Here is a 17,669-nt window from a genome sequence, read left to right on the forward strand (position 1 = left end):
ATCTCCTGAGGACATGGCCAGGGAAGTTTCCCTTGGCTTTGGAAGATAGCCTCTTGCCATTTCTTTCTTTGCCAGGGGCCATGGGTGGCCAGAGTTCCAGCGGAGGCCGGCTGGGCTGCAATAAGGGGATTACAAAGTGGAAAGTCTGTTTCGCTTGGTTCTTAAAAAACGAGGAGGAAAGACATTGATCCTTTTCTTCTTGATCTTTCTTCTCTCCGTCATTCGCTTCTTATTGGTTTTTGAACCCTGTGGACTAACCATGGAAAAGATGGCTTTATGAGTCAGATGTCCACCAGAGGATGGCATCATGGACAGAGCAGTATCTTCTGTGGCCTTTCCGTGAATGGCTGGAGGGCTGAAGGGAGGACACTGAAGCCTTCAGCTTGGAGGAATCCAGGGAGAGGGATCAGGAGCCACCTTGGCAGCTGCATATGATGTCAAAACCTGTTTCTCTTGTGGCTCAGTCCCTCCCAGGCCCCCTACTTGCCTCTCTTACCTCCAGTGCTGTACAAAGCCCAGAAGTGCCCTAGGAGTTTGAGCACACCAACCTTCTGTCCAAAACGCCACTCCATTACTGTCTTCAAGTCCTGTGAATTACCTAATGTTAGTCTTCAAATGTTACATGGTAAAACCCAGCTGCTCCACACGGCATCCAAGACAGCTTGTACAAGCTTTTAAAAGTTTAGGATTTAGGTTGGGTGTGGTGGTGGCTCATCCTTGTAATCCTAGCACTTTGGGAGGCTGATGTGGGAGGATTGCTTGCGCTTAGGAGTTCAAGAACAACCTGGGCAACATAGGGAGACCTTATCTCTAGAAAAAGAATTTTAATAAATTAGCCAGGCGTGGTGATGCACACCTGTCATCCCAGCTACTCAGGAGGCTGAGGTGGGACAATCGCTTGAGCCTGAGAGATCCAAGCTGCAGTGAGCTGTGATCACACCACTGCACTCCAGCCTGGGTGACAGAGTGAGACTCTGTCTGGAAAAAAGTAAATAAACAAATAAAAGGTTAGAACTTAGTGACAAATCAACAGTGAAAATTTTACCACCCAGCAACTCAGCCATGCCATCTGCCCACCCCACCTCCCCTCTTCCCCACTCAGGGGCAAAGGCGACTGGTCTCTTATAGGCTACAACACTCACTGGGCCAATGCCATTTCACCGTCCTATCTCAAAGTGCTTTATTCTACAATTCTGTATGCAAATACATGACGTAACTCTTTTCTCAGCTTGTAAATTCTTGAAGGCCGTAAGTTGTGCTGACTGCATCCTTGTTTACCTATAAGCATTCATTGAATGTTTTCCAGTAGACATGGAGAGGAGAGAAGAGGCAGAACTGTACCAGCAACGGGAGTTAGGTGTTCACTTGATAATGGACTTGGATGATGAATCTCATTGCCCTGAGAGCAGGGATATTTCTTTCTTCAGTGACCAACCCCGAAATGCTTGTCAAATTATCGAATGTCCTCCTATGCATGTAGGGGCTGGCTCTTAGAGGTATAAAGCATGTCGAGAAAAAAGAATAAAAATAAAAGCATAATGAGCATTCCTTCAAGTAAAGAGCTAAGCACTCCTTTTTGTGTCTCTTCCCTTGCAAAGGGGAAAGGAGACCCTAATTTTGCAAGACTTCAAAAAGAGTGTGCAGAAGGCCAATTGTTTCAAGGTGACAATCATTCCTGCATGCACCCCTCCCACATCCCGGCCTCTGCCAGGCAACTTTCAGTCCTTTCTGAAGAATGACCCTCCCCCAGCACACATACTCCCAGGCAGTTTCCTTCTATTCTGGCCTGGTCTTTTCATTCCAGGCAACTTTGCATACCAATGAGCCAGATGAAGTTCTGGGAAGGGCCTCTCAGCACCATTTTGTCTTGTTTCAGCTGTGGACCCCAAAGTCATTTCCATTGCCAACCGAGTAGCTGAAATTGTTTACTCCTGGCCACCACCACAAGCGACCCAGGCAGGAGGCTTCAAGTCCAAAGAGATTTTTGTAACTGAGGGTCTCTCCTTCCAGCTCCAAGGCCACGTGCCTGTAGCTTCAAGTTCTAAGAAAGGTAAGCTTTCCTTCCCTGGGTGGAGTGTTTGCCAGGCAGGGGCGCAGGAGCATTTGTGTATTTATCCATCCCAGGGCTCGGCAACTTGACAGTCTCCGCTGCCTGGACTGAGGGCTTGACAGCCACAGGCTGTGGGCAATGAGCTCCAGCTTGAGACACCAGCCCAAGGCAAGGGGGCTGCCCCAGCAGGTTGAAAAAACATTCCCAGCTCTCTGCTAAGTAAGAAAGGAAAGTCTCCTACAGAGGGAGAGGAGGAAACACAAAGCCCGCATTCAGCCTTGTCTGTGGCGGAAAATGCAATGTTAGATCTGATCATGTTACCAGTGACCCTGGGCCAATTTGCATCAGGTACAGTTGGAGCGTCAAGCCAGGGATTTATATTATAACATTGCTTTAGGGCTTTGTGAAAAAGCAGGGGTTGTCAGGCACCAGCTATGGTGCAAGACATGGAGCAGAACTGAGAAGTAGTGACAAGGCTGGGTCAGTTGTCACCCAAACCATAGCAATAGCTGAGACTGTAGATCCCATCAGGCTGGTGGTAACTCAAGGCACTGAGGGGAGAGTCAAGGGGAGCAAAGCCAAGTGCCACTGGAAGAGAAGCTCTGCCCGGCATTCCCCCACCACAGTTCTTGCTCCTGGCTCCCTCCACAAACTACAGTGGAGGTTGTGATGACGCAGCCTCATTGTCTGGGATAAATACGTGAGGTTCGTTGTCTCATGCCAAGGGAATCGAGGACATGGACACACACAAGAAGTGAGTTTAGCGGCAGAGGTTTAATAGGCAAAACAAAGAGAAAGGAGAACAGCTCTCTCTCCTGCGACAGAGAGGGGAACCCAAATGTGACTTCTGGCCTGCGACAGAGTGCACCGGATTTTATAGACAGGTTTGAGGAGGTGGTGTCTGATTTACATAGGATCCAAAGATCAGTTGAACCAGGTGTGACGTTTACATAGCATGGGGGAAGCTGGCCACCCCACCCTCATCTTATTACGCAAGTGGGCTTTCCACTTGCCCAGCGCCATGTTGTCTGCTCCCTAGGGCACACGTGGTTGGAAAGGAAAAGGGAAAATGCGGCCGCCATGTTGGACATGCCTAGTCCCAGGTGGCCTTTTCCTATTGGCACAGCTGCCAACATTCACTGTGCAAGCTTTTAGCTTGCTTGTCTATGTCTGCAGCTCAATTTTACAGGCTACTCTTTGTTAGAAAAGAAAATGATTTGGGGCTGCTTTTCATTAAAAGGAAAACCTTCCCGAGAACTTCCTTACCCTCACTATCTGCCTAAATCATTTCTTTTTAACTCCTCTAACAGTGAGGCCAAGGTGGATCTTGGGTTTGCACCTCCCTAAAGAACAAGGTGAAGGTTCTCCCTCCAAAGGTATCCGTGTCTCCCAACCCCGATGCAGAGCGGTAGCCACACTAAAGGGGCCACAGCTGCCACAGAGGCTCAGGGGACCGTGTGAAGAGCTGGAGGAGAGGAGGAGGCCTCTGAGTCTGCTAAAAAAAAACAGTGTGACATTTTATTACTATCCCACATGGGCTTGGGAGATGGAATGCCACCCCTAAACCAAGCTAAAGCTAAGATGACCTCATCCTCTGTGCACAGGAGAAATACAGGCAGCTGTGCCAGCAACTTTCCCTAAGAGAGTGTTAACCCAATATATCGAGACAGATCTTACTCAGTGTAGAACTTTTATTTTGGCCGGGAGCGGTGGCTCGTGCCTGTAATCCCAGCACTTTGGGAGGCCAAGGCAGGTGGATCGCCTGAGGTCAGGCGTTCAAGACCAGCCTGGCCAACATGGTGAAACCCCTTCTCTACTAAAAATACAAAAAAATTAGCCAGGCATAGTGGCAGGTGCCTATGATCCCAACTACTGGGGAGGCTGAGGCAGGAGAATCGCTTCAACTGGGGAGGCTGAGGTTGCAGTGAGCCAAGATTACGCCATTGCACTCCAGCCTGGGTGACAAGAGTGAAACTCCATCTCAATAAAAAAAAAAAAAAGTAGAAGAAGAAGGTTTATTTTGCCAAGCCTGGGCACGGTGGCTTACGTCTGTAATCCCAGCACTTCGAGAGGCCGAGGCGGACGGATCTCTTGAGGCCAGAAGTTCAAGACCAGCCTGGCCAACATAGCAAAACCCTATCTCTACTAAAAATACAAAAAAATTAGCCGGGTGTGGTGGCACACACCTGTAGTCCCAGCTACTCGGGAGGCTGAGGCAGGAGAATCACTTGAACCTGGGAGGTGGAGGTTGCAGTGAGCCAAGATCGTGCCACTGCACTCCAGCCTGGGTGACAGAGCAAGACTCACATACTCCACTGCACCCTGTCCCCCCAACACACACCATACACCAACCGTGGCCACGTTCCTATCCATCTGCCCTTTTAGCCTTGGCCATAGGGGAATTTATTAATTTTACTTATTTATATCCCACCTTATTGTCAAGACCCAGCATACAAAGAATAAATTTTAGTCAGATAAAATCCATCAATCTGAAAGATATCTTTGTAAAAAGAAAACAAAAACAGGAAAATAAGACGGATTTGGGAATTAGGTTAATTTCCAAAATGTAGGCCAGCAAGACTATCCACTCTCTTAGATATGGGCCACAAATTTGGCTCTATACTTTCTAGCAACTAACCCAAAGAGTGAAATATAATCAAATATGAGATTTATGGTGTCCATAAGATAAAAGCACCATCTGCTGAGGAAAAATCCAAAAACCAGAAGAATATTCCCCCTAAATATCTTCATAGACAGAATCCTGTGCTGTGAAACCGATGTCTTCAACAACAAGCTTAAGGTAACTACAGCGATGAATTTCACAGTGAGAGCTGGGGGACTGAGCAAAGGAAGAAGGGGAAAGAAGGAAAGGAAGGGGCTGTAGGAGAAATCCCTAGTATGGTTTGTGTCTGGGCAGAAGAGGCGAGGTAAGATTTACTTGATAAGAATGAACATGCTTCTTGCCAGGCACAGTGGCTCATGCCTGTAATTCCAGCACTTTGGGAGGCCGAAGTGGGTGGACCACCTGAGGTCAGGAGTTTGAGACCAGCCTGGCTAACATGGTGAAACCTGGGTTTCTAGTAAAAATACAAAAAAATTAGCCAGGCGTGGTGGCACACGCCTGTAATCCCAGCTACTTGGGAGACTGAGGCATGAGAATCTCTTGAACCTGGGAGGCAGAGGTTGCAGTGAGGCAAGATCGCACCATTGCACTACAGCTTGGGCAACAAGAGCAAAACTCTGTCTAAAAAATAAAAAATAAAAAAAAAAAAAAGAATTAGCATGCCTCTTCCTCCAGCCCTTACCAAGCCACAAGCATTCATTGTCCCTGGAAAAATGTAAGATTATTTTTTGCTTCTCTTAAAAGAAATAACTGGAATTTTCCCCGACAGATGAAGAAGAACAAATACTAGCCAAAATTGTTGAGCTGCTGAAATATTCAGGAGATCAGTTGGAAAGAAAGGTATGGAACACCTTGAACTGATGCGATTGATTTCTGTGCCCATGCACTAGTACACGAGAATGGAATTGTATTCCAGGTTGCAACCTTATTCCCTTTCTAAGTCCTGGTTTCTACTTAGTCCTAAATTTTATTTCCCTTGGAGTCAAAATTCTTCATGCTGGTAGAATCTCAAAAATGAGTCACTTTGGAAAACATAAGTAAACCTTCTGGAGCCTCCTTGGAATTTTTGGAAACTAAAAAAGAAACTTGTTATTGCAAGAAAAGACACCAGTAAATTAAAATTTGCTGGATGGAATTATTAATCTCATTCCCCATGTAACTGATCCTCATTGAAGTTTAGACTCGCATTTGCTTTGCAGCCTGGATATCTGTGTCCCACAGTTGCTCCAAAGCTGGAATACTTTCTGGAATCTTTTTCCCCTGTAGTTGCTGGACTGTTGCCTGTTTAAGGGCTCTCTTAGCAGTTCAGCCAGGGAGGTGCGCTAGTGTTACTGGGAGAATGTATGGATTTCCTGCCATTTGGAAGTTGAGACCCATCTTTCCAATCAGGAACGGGTGAGAGTTGCCTTCAGGTAAACAGTTGGTGAGCAAACCTTCAACAGAGTCAAAAGGGCTTCTCTATGCCTCCTGGGTCCATAACCCACAGACGACTGAGTAGTCTCTAGAATCTGTCAATCAGGGGCTGGCTTGCAGACATAGACCCTTGTTTTTCCAGAATCTGTGGGGAGGGAGTCAGACCCTGGGGGTGGGGATGGGAGGTTCTGCAGGAAGACAAACAGCTCCTGTCTATAGCTTTGTCAAAAGTGTGCCCAGAGGCTGGTGACCCAGAGGGCGAAGCACCTGGGAGATGGGACAGAATGAGAAACAGCGAGAAAACCAGGGATATTAGGTTAAAGAAAAGAGAACGGGGTGTGTGAGCTTTGGGACCACAAGTAGAGGGTGGAGAGGGGTGCAGAGGAAGCAAGAGATGGAACAGGATCATGATTTAAGGGCACCCCTGCATTTCTCCAGAGCTAGTGTCATGGATACACAAATTATGCCTAGTATGGGGTGATTGATTTCTCCTTATGGTAAGAATGAACCTCCATTCCTGGAGAATAGGCATTCCAGGCTGCCCATGAGAGTCAACGGGTGCCTTGTGAGAGAATGATCTTCCTGTCACGGGAAGAATTGCAAGTAGGTGCCAATACCAGTTAGCATTTCAGCACAGAACTCCGAGGGGTCCTTTAGACAACCTCAAGGGCTCTTTACAACTCAGAGTTTCTGTGGCTCTCACGGCAACCTCCTTCCCAGCTTCCCTAAGCAGGGACTTGTGGTCATTGGTCAGGGAGGTGGGAAAGGCGGAGTGGGGGTGCTGGAGGTGGGACGAAGGCCACCGATCTCAGGTTATGAAGAGCGATGGTTTCATTTTCACCCCCACAAATTACCACTTTCAAAAACCTCACTTTGCCTGGTGCTCTCTCTTAAGGAGTTTGGACATTTTACATTGCTTATGGCAAAGCCTTGGTTGTTATTTCCTTTACATGCTTCCCCAGTAGGGAGCTCTGCTAGAGACACATGGTAGGTGTGACCTTGTGCTGGGCGGGTGCCAAGCTCCCACTGCAGAGTGCCGTGTGTGTGGCTGCAGGGGATCTGCAGAGCCGCTGGTCCCAAGAGCACACACAGCCCGAAGGCCCATCCTACACCTCCAGGAGAGGCCAAAGAGCCAGGTGCACCCGAGAGGGACAGGCAGGGGAGGGGTGAGGAGGTGCCAGTGGAAGCCCTGTCTTTGTGGCGTTTGATTCTTTTACTGTTCTGGCACAGTCCCCACTTGGCTGCCTGCTAGGGTTTTGAGCCTGGCCTCCTCCATTGGGAAACTGATGAAGAGGAGTCTGTTCCCTGTTATGGAGGAGGCTGGCCATGCCTCCTGCAGAGTCACAACCCAGACGGGGCCTGGACGGTGGGGGTGGGCGTGGTTCAGGGAAAAGACAGGTCTGCCAAAATCTCCCAATCGCATCTGACTCATCCCCCAGATATCCCTTTTAGAAACAATATTTGTTGAAAACCCGCTTGGCTTATCATTCCTCTAGGACAGAACTAGAGGATTTTCAAATAAATATTTTGTCCCTGCTCACTCAGAAATTTCCGTTTTCACATGACAACCAGCATATTAACAGACATTGCAAGAATGCTTTAAATGAAGATGATATATAGCTTTTTGATATGAGCCCTGATTTTTCAAAAGCAGAAGAGGCAGCATTGATTTTGTTTTAAAGGCGTGGTAGTTCAAAGGAGGTAAAGCAGAGAGATACCAGGTTCAAGGGAAGGCCGGGAGGTAAAATCAATAGGGTAGAATAATGGGAAAGAAATCAATGAATTGGAGTTTTTTTAAGTGAACATTGCATGCAAGGGAGTCTTCCCTGACCTCCATGCTCCCGTAGCATCCTGAAAAATGACTCGCATTTCCAAAGCACCTCTTCTATGTCCAGCACTATAAAGTGTTCAACTACCCTATAGTATAGGGCCAAGCACAGTGGCTCACACTTGTAATCCCAGCTCCTGGGGAGGCCGAGGTGGGAGGATCGCTTGAGGCCAGGAGTTTGAGACCAGCCTGGGCAATATAGTAAGCCTTGTCCCTAAAAAACAATAATAATAAAAGTTTCTTAAGAAAATGAAGGCTGGGTACGGGCACAGTGGCCCACACCTGTAATCCCAGCACTTTGGGAGGCCGAGGCAGGTGGATCACCTAAGGTTAGGAGTTCAAGACCAGCCTTACCAACATGATGAAACCCTGTCTCTACTAAAAATACAAAAATTAGCCGGGTGTGGTGGTGTGTGCCAGTAATCCCAGCTACTTGGGAGGCTGAGACAGGAGAGTTGCTTGAACCTGGGAGGCGGAGGTTGCAGTGAGCTGAGATCGCGCCTCTGCACTCCAGTCTGGGCAAGAGAGTGAGACTCCATCTCAGAAAAAAAAAAAAGAAAGAAAGAAAAGAAAAGAAAATGAAGACTGGGTGCAGGGACTCATGCCTGTAATCCCAACACTTTGGGGAGGCTGAGGTGGGTGGATCGCTTAAGCCCAGGAGTGGGCAACATGGCGAAACTCTATCTCTACAAAAAAATAGAAAAAAATTAGCCAGGTGTGGTGGCATGCACCTGTAGTCCCATCTACTTGGGAGGCTGAGGCAAGAGAATCACTTGAGCCCAGGAGGCAGAGGTTGCAGTGAGCTGAGACCACACCACTGCACTCCAGCCTGGGCAATGGGAGTGAAACCCTGTCTTAAAAAAAAAAAAAAGAAAGAAAACAATTACCCTATAGTATCAATACTATCACCATCCTAGTTTAGAGATGACAAACTGAATCTGAGAGGTTAATTTCCCCAAGATTGCATAGCTAAGTAAGAGGTGGACCCAGGGGTTTGAGCCAAGACAGTGATTCCTAAGCTTCAGATCCTGTCCCTTACACTACTTCTAGCAAAGGACATCACATTTTTCTGCAATTCCCACTAGACTGTGAGCCCTTTGAGTGAGGACCCGCATCTCAGTCATCCATACTACCTGCCCATTATAAGTGCTCAGGAAATATTTGTTAAATGTCAAATGAACTGACTGTTCCATTTTATACATGTATTTGTGCTGATGAAATGAATTCACCGAGCAGTACATGCCCATTCTGGTTCTGCAGGACACTGCCTTCATCCCCATTCCCTTGGTTGACACCAGCATCCAGGGTTTTCCACAGGATGGTTTGATGGCCTGCATTTGAGCTAAAGAATGAACTTCTGTCTGCCTCGTGGAGCCAAGCTACTGTACTGAGTGCTTATTCTTTTGTACACAGCTGAAGAAAGATAAGGCTTTGATGGGCCACTTCCAGGATGGGCTGTCCTACTCTGTTTTCAAGACCATCACAGACCAGGTCCTAATGGGTGTGGACCCCAGGGGAGAATCAGAGGTCAAAGCTCAGGGCTTTAAGGCTGCCCTTGTAATAGACGTCACGGCCAAGCTCACAGCTATTGACAACCACCCGATGAACAGGGTCCTGGGCTTTGGCACCAAGTACCTGAAAGAGAACTTCTCGCCATGGATCCAGCAGCACGGTGGATGGGTAAGCGTATCCTATTTAAAAACAAATTTTCTCAGAACTCAGAAGAGATGGGATGGATTTTTTTTTTTTTTTTAAATGAAGGGAACACATCTATGAAGCAGTTCTCATGAGTTTAGGACACTTGAGTGGCCAGAGATAGATCCCATTGATGGGAACATATTTTTAGTGATTATCTTCATCATCAATAAATATTTACTGAGCTCTCCAAGGGTATGCAGGGTATGTGTGGATGGAAAGGGACTGGTCAGATGGAACAGGAAATGAGGAGATGCTGAGATAAGAAATGTTTAGATAGACGTAATTTCTGTTTTCACAAATTTTGCAGGCAACGGAAGTCTGGCAGGGAGACAAGGGCAGGCAGACAGTTCCTCACACTTGCAGATACTTAGAGGTCACGGAGACTAAGCCTCATGCAGAGACTCAGGGTTCATGGCATTTTGTCATTGCTGCTTTGACCCAGCCATTTTGAGGGTGACATTTTGATACCAAATAAAAAGCCAACAGTTAAACTTTCATCTATTTTCAATTACCTGGTATCAGTCAAAACAGACCTCTTTCCCTTTTGCCTCAAACCCTCTCCCATCCCTCATCCCCAGTTCCTCAGGTCTCCTTAAGACTGCCATGTTCAAACAGCTACATAAGGTCCACCGTGTCAAAATGTACTACCCCACAACTTTAACTCTCAACAGGCCTAGGCATTCCTAGGCGGACAGACCTTCATCCCACATTATCCTTAGTTCTCTTTCCACTAGAATGGTCCAGGGGCCAGCAGGAGGATTGAGTCGGCTCTAGGCATGGCTGGAGTGACCCTGGGACCTCCACACAGCCTTGGTCTCTTTGCTGATGGAAGGAAAGTGCAGCTGATCTTGCCCAAGGGTCTGAAGTGCCCGCCATGGTCTTCAGTGGCTGCCACGGTCTTCAGTTTCTGTACATTGAGTTCCTTTCTATTTTCCACTTTTGCACCAAGTTTGATAACCCTAAGTGGCTGATCTGAACAACCAAGGCCATTCTTAAGTATTCTAAACTTAAGCTGCCTTAGCTTATTCTAAAAGGAGGACAGGTTCCTCAACATTATTTTAGTTCTACCTATTCTTCTTTCCAGGATTCCTTCACCCCAACAACCCCCTTGAGCCCTCATCTGCCCCAAAGCCTCTCCTGACCCTTCCAGCTCAAAGGCTGCACAGTCTCTAATCTCCAGCACTTCATGTTTGCACCATAATAATATACAAAAGATGATCAAATTCCCAATTGACTATGTTTCAAGCATTCATTTTAAAAATCATTGTTAGTCCTCTTAATATATTTTCTCAGAGAAATTATAATTATCAATTGGGTTCACAGGCTAGCTCTCAAAAATCTGTTTAACCCACTAATGTAGCTAAAATACCATAAATATGCTATTAAAAAGCAGTGGTTCTACACCAAAAGCACAAGCAACAAAAGAAAGAATAGATACATTGGATTTTGTTTTGTGCTTCCAAGAACACCACCACCAAGAATGTGAAAAAAAAAAAAAAACAACCCACAGAATGGGGAAAAATACTTGCAAATAAAATCTCTAATAAAAGACATATCTAAATACATAATGAACTATTATAATTGAACAATAAAATGTCAAATAACCCAATTTTCAAATGAGCAATGGATTTGAATAGACATTTCTCCAAAGAATATATATAAATGGCTAAAAGCACATGAAAAGACGCTTGTTTGACATCTTCATTTCAACAGTAGGAAAATGCAAATCAAAGCAACATTGAGCTCTATCCACTACAGTGGCTAAAATGAAAAAGAAAAGCATTGACGTCGGTGAGGATGTGGAGAAATTGGAACCTTTTATGTTGCTGGTTGGATTGTAAAATGGTGCAGTCCCTTTGGAAAACCACTTGGGAGTTCCCAAAAATGTTAACTATGAAGTTACCAATTCCAGGGGCCGGGCGCAGTGGCTCACGCCTGTAATCCCAGCACTTTGGGAGGCCGAGGCGGGTGGATCACGAGGTCAGGAGATCGAGACCATCCTGGCTAACACGGTGAAACCCCGTCTCTACTAAAAATACAAAAAAATTAGCCGGGCATGGTGGCAGGTGCCTGTAGTCCCAGCTACTCAGGGGGGCTGAGGTAGGAGAATGGTGTAAACCTGGGAGGCGGAGCTTGCAGTGAGCCAAGATCGCGCCACTGCACTCCAGCCTGGGAGAGAGAGCGAGACTCTGTCTCAAAAAATAAAAAAAATTAAAAAAAATAAAGTTACCAGTTCCACTCCTGGATATATACCCAAGAAAGTTGAAGACATATTTTCATACAAAAATTTGTACATGAATGTTCATAGCTTCCATTAGCCAAAAAGTGGAAGCAACCCAAATGTCCATCAACTGATGAATGATGAATGGATAAGGAAAATGTAGTATAGCCACACAATGGAATGTTATTCCACTATAAAAATAAAGCAAGTATTGATACATGGATGAACCTTAAAAACATTATGCTAAGTGAGAGAAAGTCAGGCAAAAAGGCCATATACTGTATGATTCCATGTATATGAAGTGTCCAGAATAGGCAAATGTATAGATACAGAAAGTAGACTCGTTGCTAGGAGCTGAGGGTGAGAGAATGGGAATAATTGCTAAGGGATGTGAAGTTTATTTTTGGAGTGATGATAATGTCCTAAAATCAGAGGCGATGTTTGCATAACTCTGTGAATATACTAAAAGTGAATATACGAATTCACTGAATTAGTGAATTTTATAGCATAATTATATTTCAATCAATCTTTATAAAACTAGCAGTTCTAATTCTAGTAATCAAAAAGAGGAAAGAGAAATGAATGCAATTATTTTTTTAATTTGGCTGCTGGTACTGGAGAAAAAAAACAGTTCCAATTAGAAAAAAAAAAAGATGAATTATTCAGTAGGAATACTAAAGTGGATTTCCAAAGGCTTTAGAAATTGATGGCACTAGTTCTTTAACATCTGTAGTTTCAATTCAAAATGTATTTCTTATCCAAGTTATCATAAACCTTAATCTTAACTCTTGGCCACAGTTAAGTTTAATTTGGAGCATGTCAGTGGAAATTAGGAGAGGGGAGACAAAGAATGTGAGAGGGATGACTAATTTTTCCAAAGGGTAGAAAAAAATAAAGGAGGATGATAAAGAATATTTATGAGCTGATATGAGCTATGGAAGTGTGAAGGACATGTGGATTGGGGCGTGTGCTCAGAGTCCCTTAACGGGAAAAAAAGAAGACAATGGGAAGTAAGCCTCCTGGGACTTCCATTGGCACCAAGTGTCTCGATGGCTCTCTCTGCTGTCCTTGTAGTAGTGTGGGAGGAGAGAAATCTAGTCCCATGCACAAGCTTTCCAGAAGCTCAGGGTTCCTATCTCAGTATTCCACATTTCATATGAGTACATCTCATCTTCCCAACTAAACTGCAAATCTGTAAGGGTGAGATCATGTTTTTATGATGGCTCCTTTAATCTCCCATAGCTCCCATTCCTCTACATAACACCATAGATGTTCAGCCAGTACTTGTAGAACGGTGAATGAATCGATCAAATGAATGAATAGCAACTCTATCTACAAGGCATGCCAAACAAGCTACCACGAGATTCTGATTTACTCCTTGGCTCTTTGTGCTCTCTGTGGAGCACCATTCACATAGTTACCCTGCAGTCCTGCAACCTCACCCATTCTGTAGCACTTTGAAAGGAGAGAGTTGTAACCTTCATAGTCATTGACCTTTCAGTACCCACTTTTATTACATTTTAAATACACCCTTGAAGCCCTCCCATCTTCAAGGAAAGATCCAGCCTGTTAGCTCTGGGTGTGTAACGTAAGACCTTAGCTGATGTCTTCCTTGCAGGCATACCAAGAATGCCAGTCACCTCTCCAAACCCTCCCCCAAACTAACATGGTCTCCTGAGCCTCGGGTCACGCCTGGGATAGAGCAGAGTTAGCAGCCATATGTTTTCACTTCAACAGTAAATCTAACTTGGAATTTTAAGAACCTATTTTTCCCCTCTAGGAAAAAATACTTGGGATATCACATGAAGAAGTAGACTGAAATATCAGATTTGTCATCAGGAATACTCTTTGTCTACTGTGGTCCTGTGCACGTTGGCCTCAGATGGACTACAGGAGATTACAACGTACAAGGCAGATGGAGCATTGACGTTTTCAAAACCATTATTCCTGTGACTGGAGAGGCATCAGGAGAGGTCTCGTTCGTCTCCAGCTCATAAAATGTAGCAGCATCATCCTTGACAGTGATGTTTTTCAGGCCCTCCATTGAGAACCTGAGGAAATCTGTAAAGATAAGTGGTGATGTTGTTTCAAACGTTCAGAACAGATACCATCATCCTGCCTTTGTTAGCTGCTGTAGGGAAAGTGCGTTACAGATGTCTGCTGACCTCACAAGAGTGAAAAGATAAACTGTGCATGTGTTTCCACTTCCGTTTCTAGTACTATTTATTTTTAAACTACACTTGGGGTGGCCTAATACCTAGGAAGATGTTGCTATTCACGTTAGTAAACAGCCTAAAGAAACTCTTAGGTTTACTGCTACATCCATTTGTTTGGAGAGGTAACTGTTGTCTGTGCCTTTTTGAAAAACTTCCATTTGGTACAAAATTTTTACTCCAACACCCCCTCAACCCTTTTCTCAGGGACCACACCTCTTCTTCCCAAGGTCCCTGGGACTTCCTCATTCTTTGTGGTAGTACAATGATTGGTAGCAGGTAAAATAAATACATAGAAAGACTACTGTCAAAAGAGTGTCTTCTGATTAGTAAGTAATAAGTCTTCTGATTATCAAATGAGTTAATTTACATAAAATGCTCAGAACACTTCTTGGTACTTAATGTTAAGTCTTCACTTATGGTCCCTAATGTGTGCTGCCCTCAGCTAAGCTGCCAATTTCCTCTCCTGTCAACGCAGTCACTGATTGCTTTCCTGAGATTGCGGCTGTTCGGTATAAGGTTTTTTAGAAACATGCTCAATAGTAAGTGTTTAAGACACAAAACAATTTAAAAAATACTATCAAATTATAAGGTCTTACAAATTTCTGGATATGTAGTACCCAGCATATGGCCTGATGTAAAACTGGTGCTTAATAAAACTTTGAAGAACAAACAAGTCAGTAAGTCAGACATACTCTCAGGTTCAAGGGAAAACTGGATCTATCTATTATCAAATGCTTCACTAGCCTACCCATCTCAATAAAATGAGTTATTCTCTTTTGTTTTCTTCTCCCACATGAAAGTCATCACTGTTAGGGATAGAGGAGTCTCCATTTTTTGTTTGTTTGTTTGTTTTGTTTTGTTTTGAGACAGACTCTCGCTCTGTCACCCAGGCTGCAGTGCAGTGGCGTGATCTCGGCTCACTGCAACCTCCGCCTCCTGGGTTCAAGCAATTCTCCTGTCTCAGCCTCCCAGGTAGCTGAGATTACAGGCACCCGCCACCATGCCCGGCTAATTTTTTTTTTTGTATTTTTAGTAGAGACGGGGTTTCACCATGTTAGCCAGGATGGTCTAGATCTCCTGACCTCGTGATCTGCCCGCCTTGGCCTCCCAAAGTGCTGGGATTACAGGCGTGAGCCACCACACCCAGCCAGGAGTCTCCTTTTAGACATGGAGACACTGAAGACCACCTCTTCCTCCATCCACTCTGATCTCGCCATTCCAAACTTTTTGCAGTTCCCCAAAGGTATTATGCAACCTGGCACCTCTGAGCCTTCATAACAGTATCCTCTCTACTTGGAGTGTTCTTGCATGATGGCTTCCTTTCCCCCTGTTTCCACTAAAACAACTAACTCTAGCTCATCTTTCCAAATTTCCTCAGTTTCCTCCAGGACTCATTTGCTAACCCTCCCTTGGCCATCATGTGGCTATATTTGGATGCCTTTTCTCATAAGATGCTCCAAATCACCCTGCATGTAGACATTATGCTTAATATATTGCACCGTAAGATTTGGTTTACCCAGTCTTTCTCAGTGGATTGTAAAGTCGTTTGCAAACAGGTACTATGCCTAATTTAACTTTATATATCTAGTGCCTGGCATAGTTTTGGCACACAGTTGCAGAACCATACCCTCGTCTGACTGATACAGCTTGTAAATCAGTATGACTGGAATATGCCCTAAGATATGTGTACTTACAACAAGCTCTCCATGTGTTTCCAATATCATCTATGGCTTGTGGTCAAGATGAAGTAACTAACGAGATTTAATCTCCTGCTTGAAACAACTAAAAAAAAAAAAAGACACTATAGATGAGAATGATTTTCAAGGCATTGGACATTAGGTAATTTTTTTTTTTTTTTGTATTTTTAGTAGAGACGGGGTTTCACTGTGTTAGCCAGGATGGTCTCGATCTCCTGACCTCGTGATCTGCCTGCCTCAGCCTCCCAAAGTGCTGGGATTACAGGCGTGAGCCACCGCGTCTGGCTAGGAGTCTCCTTTTAGAGAACTGGTCCCTGAGAGATGAGACTCTAAGTGAGCCCTATGTTTGCCCTAGAGTACTGCATGCAAAGAGTTTCTAGGTCATGCTGGAGAGAGGGGAACCCACGCAGAGTTCACCAGCTCCCTGAGTAGAGAGGATAGAGCTAGGAGTCCAGAAAGATCAGAGCAGCTGAAGTTTGCAAGTCTGATAAAGGATGAAAGAGAGAGGCACACAAAGCTCCAGAGACCTGCAGATATTTCCCCTTAGGTATTCAGATGAATACTGATCAAAACATGTGCATGAAGAAATTACCCAAGGCATGGGGAAGAACCACCTGAAAATATTAAAGGGAACGCTCTCCAAAGCCTACACAAGGCCATGAATACTGCCTATTTTGGCAATAGGTAGAATCCACAAAACAATTTTGTCTCAGAAGTGGCAAAAATTAGCCCTAGACTAAGCACTCTCTGGTTCTGCACAACCTAAAGATTAAGAGCAAAAACTTAAAGGATTAAACTGTTACCAAATAACTGAGCTGTGTTCTAGAACAAACGCAAGGATATCTATAGAATAATCAAAATATCCAGCATCCAACAAGGTAATATTCACAATGTCTAGCTTCTGATAAAAAATTATAAGGCATGCAAAAAAGCAGCAAAATGCAATCCATCATGAGAAGAAAAATCAGGAAAGCTAGAATGTTACAGATGATAGAATTGTTAGACATTAGAACTATTATAACTGTATTCCACATGTTCAATAAGCCAGAAGAAATATAACATGCAAAGTACACATAGAACTTATAAGTATGACTCAAACCAAAGTTCTAGAGATGAAATCTATAACATCTGAGATGAAAAACATGCTGGATTGGATTAATAGCAGATTAGACATCATAGAAGAATGGATAGGTAAACTTGAAGACATAGCAATAGATCCAAAATAAAAAACAGAAAAATAAGATTGAGGGAAAAAACAGCAATAGCGAATTGTGGAATGACTTCTAATGAATGGCCTATATATATAGGTATAATTGAAGTGAAGATTTTCCAAATTTGATGAAAACTATAAACCCACAGAACCAAGAAATTCTACAAATGCCAAGCACCAAAAACAGGGACAGGGAGAAAACTATGCCAAGGCACACCATAAATTGCTCAAAACCAGTGATAAAGAAAAAAAAAAGTCTTCCAAGCAAGCAGAGAAAAAGGCATATTATATGCAGAGAAAGAAAAATTAAAATGACAGCAAACTTCTTGGGGACTAACACAAAAGAAACAGTAACCTCTCTAAAGTATCAAGACACACACACACACACACACACACACACACACACACACACTATAAATGCAGAATTCTATACCCAGCCAAAAGATGATTTTAAAATGTAGGGAAAATAGAGATTTTTTGAGATGTATAAAACCTAAAAGAATTCCTTATCAGCAGACCTGAACTATAATAAATATTAAAGAAATTCCTTCAGTAGAAGCCAAATTATTCCAAATAGAAATCTGTATCTGAAAAAAAAGCACTAGAAATGATAAAATGTGGGTAAATATAAAGAATTTTTAATTAAAAGATAATATACTATTTAAAAGAAAAAATAATAATGTGTTATGGGGTTTATAATGTAAATCAAAATG

The 17,669-nt window shown here is 44.0% G+C and overlaps 1 protein-coding gene across 5 annotated transcripts in view, besides 1 other annotated feature; it reads left to right on the plus strand.

Moving 5' to 3' along the window:
• The window catches only part of BCL2L14 (BCL2 like 14), a 49,835-nt gene extending 35,476 nt beyond the window's left edge, over positions 1 to 14,359 (plus strand). For 4 of the 5 annotated variants that reach the window (NM_001370269.1, NM_001370268.1, NM_138723.2 and 1 more), the window contains 4 exons: positions 1,877 to 2,050; positions 5,443 to 5,513; positions 9,328 to 9,594; positions 13,614 to 14,359. In NM_001370269.1, coding sequence (NP_001357198.1) covers positions 1,877 to 2,050; positions 5,443 to 5,513; positions 9,328 to 9,594; positions 13,614 to 13,652 — 551 coding nt within the window. In that variant the 3' untranslated portion in view covers positions 13,653 to 14,359. Of the gene's footprint in view, positions 1 to 1,876; positions 2,051 to 5,442; positions 5,514 to 9,174; positions 9,595 to 13,613 lie in introns of all 5 variants that reach the window. The other variant, NM_030766.2, reaches the window with a different exon arrangement.
• Positions 1,999 to 2,293: a silencer, noted in NCBI's record as "tiled region #8243; HepG2 Repressive non-DNase unmatched - State 7:EnhWF, and K562 Repressive non-DNase unmatched - State 23:Low". NCBI's record gives its function as "represses a minimal TATA promoter and a strong SV40 promoter by Sharpr-MPRA in HepG2 and K562 cells {active_cell/tissue: HepG2 | K562}" and the evidence as "EXISTENCE:reporter gene assay evidence [ECO:0000049][PMID:27701403]".

This window comes from Homo sapiens, chromosome 12, assembly GCF_000001405.40.
Source record: "Homo sapiens chromosome 12, GRCh38.p14 Primary Assembly".
Lineage (NCBI taxonomy): Eukaryota > Metazoa > Chordata > Mammalia > Primates > Hominidae > Homo > Homo sapiens.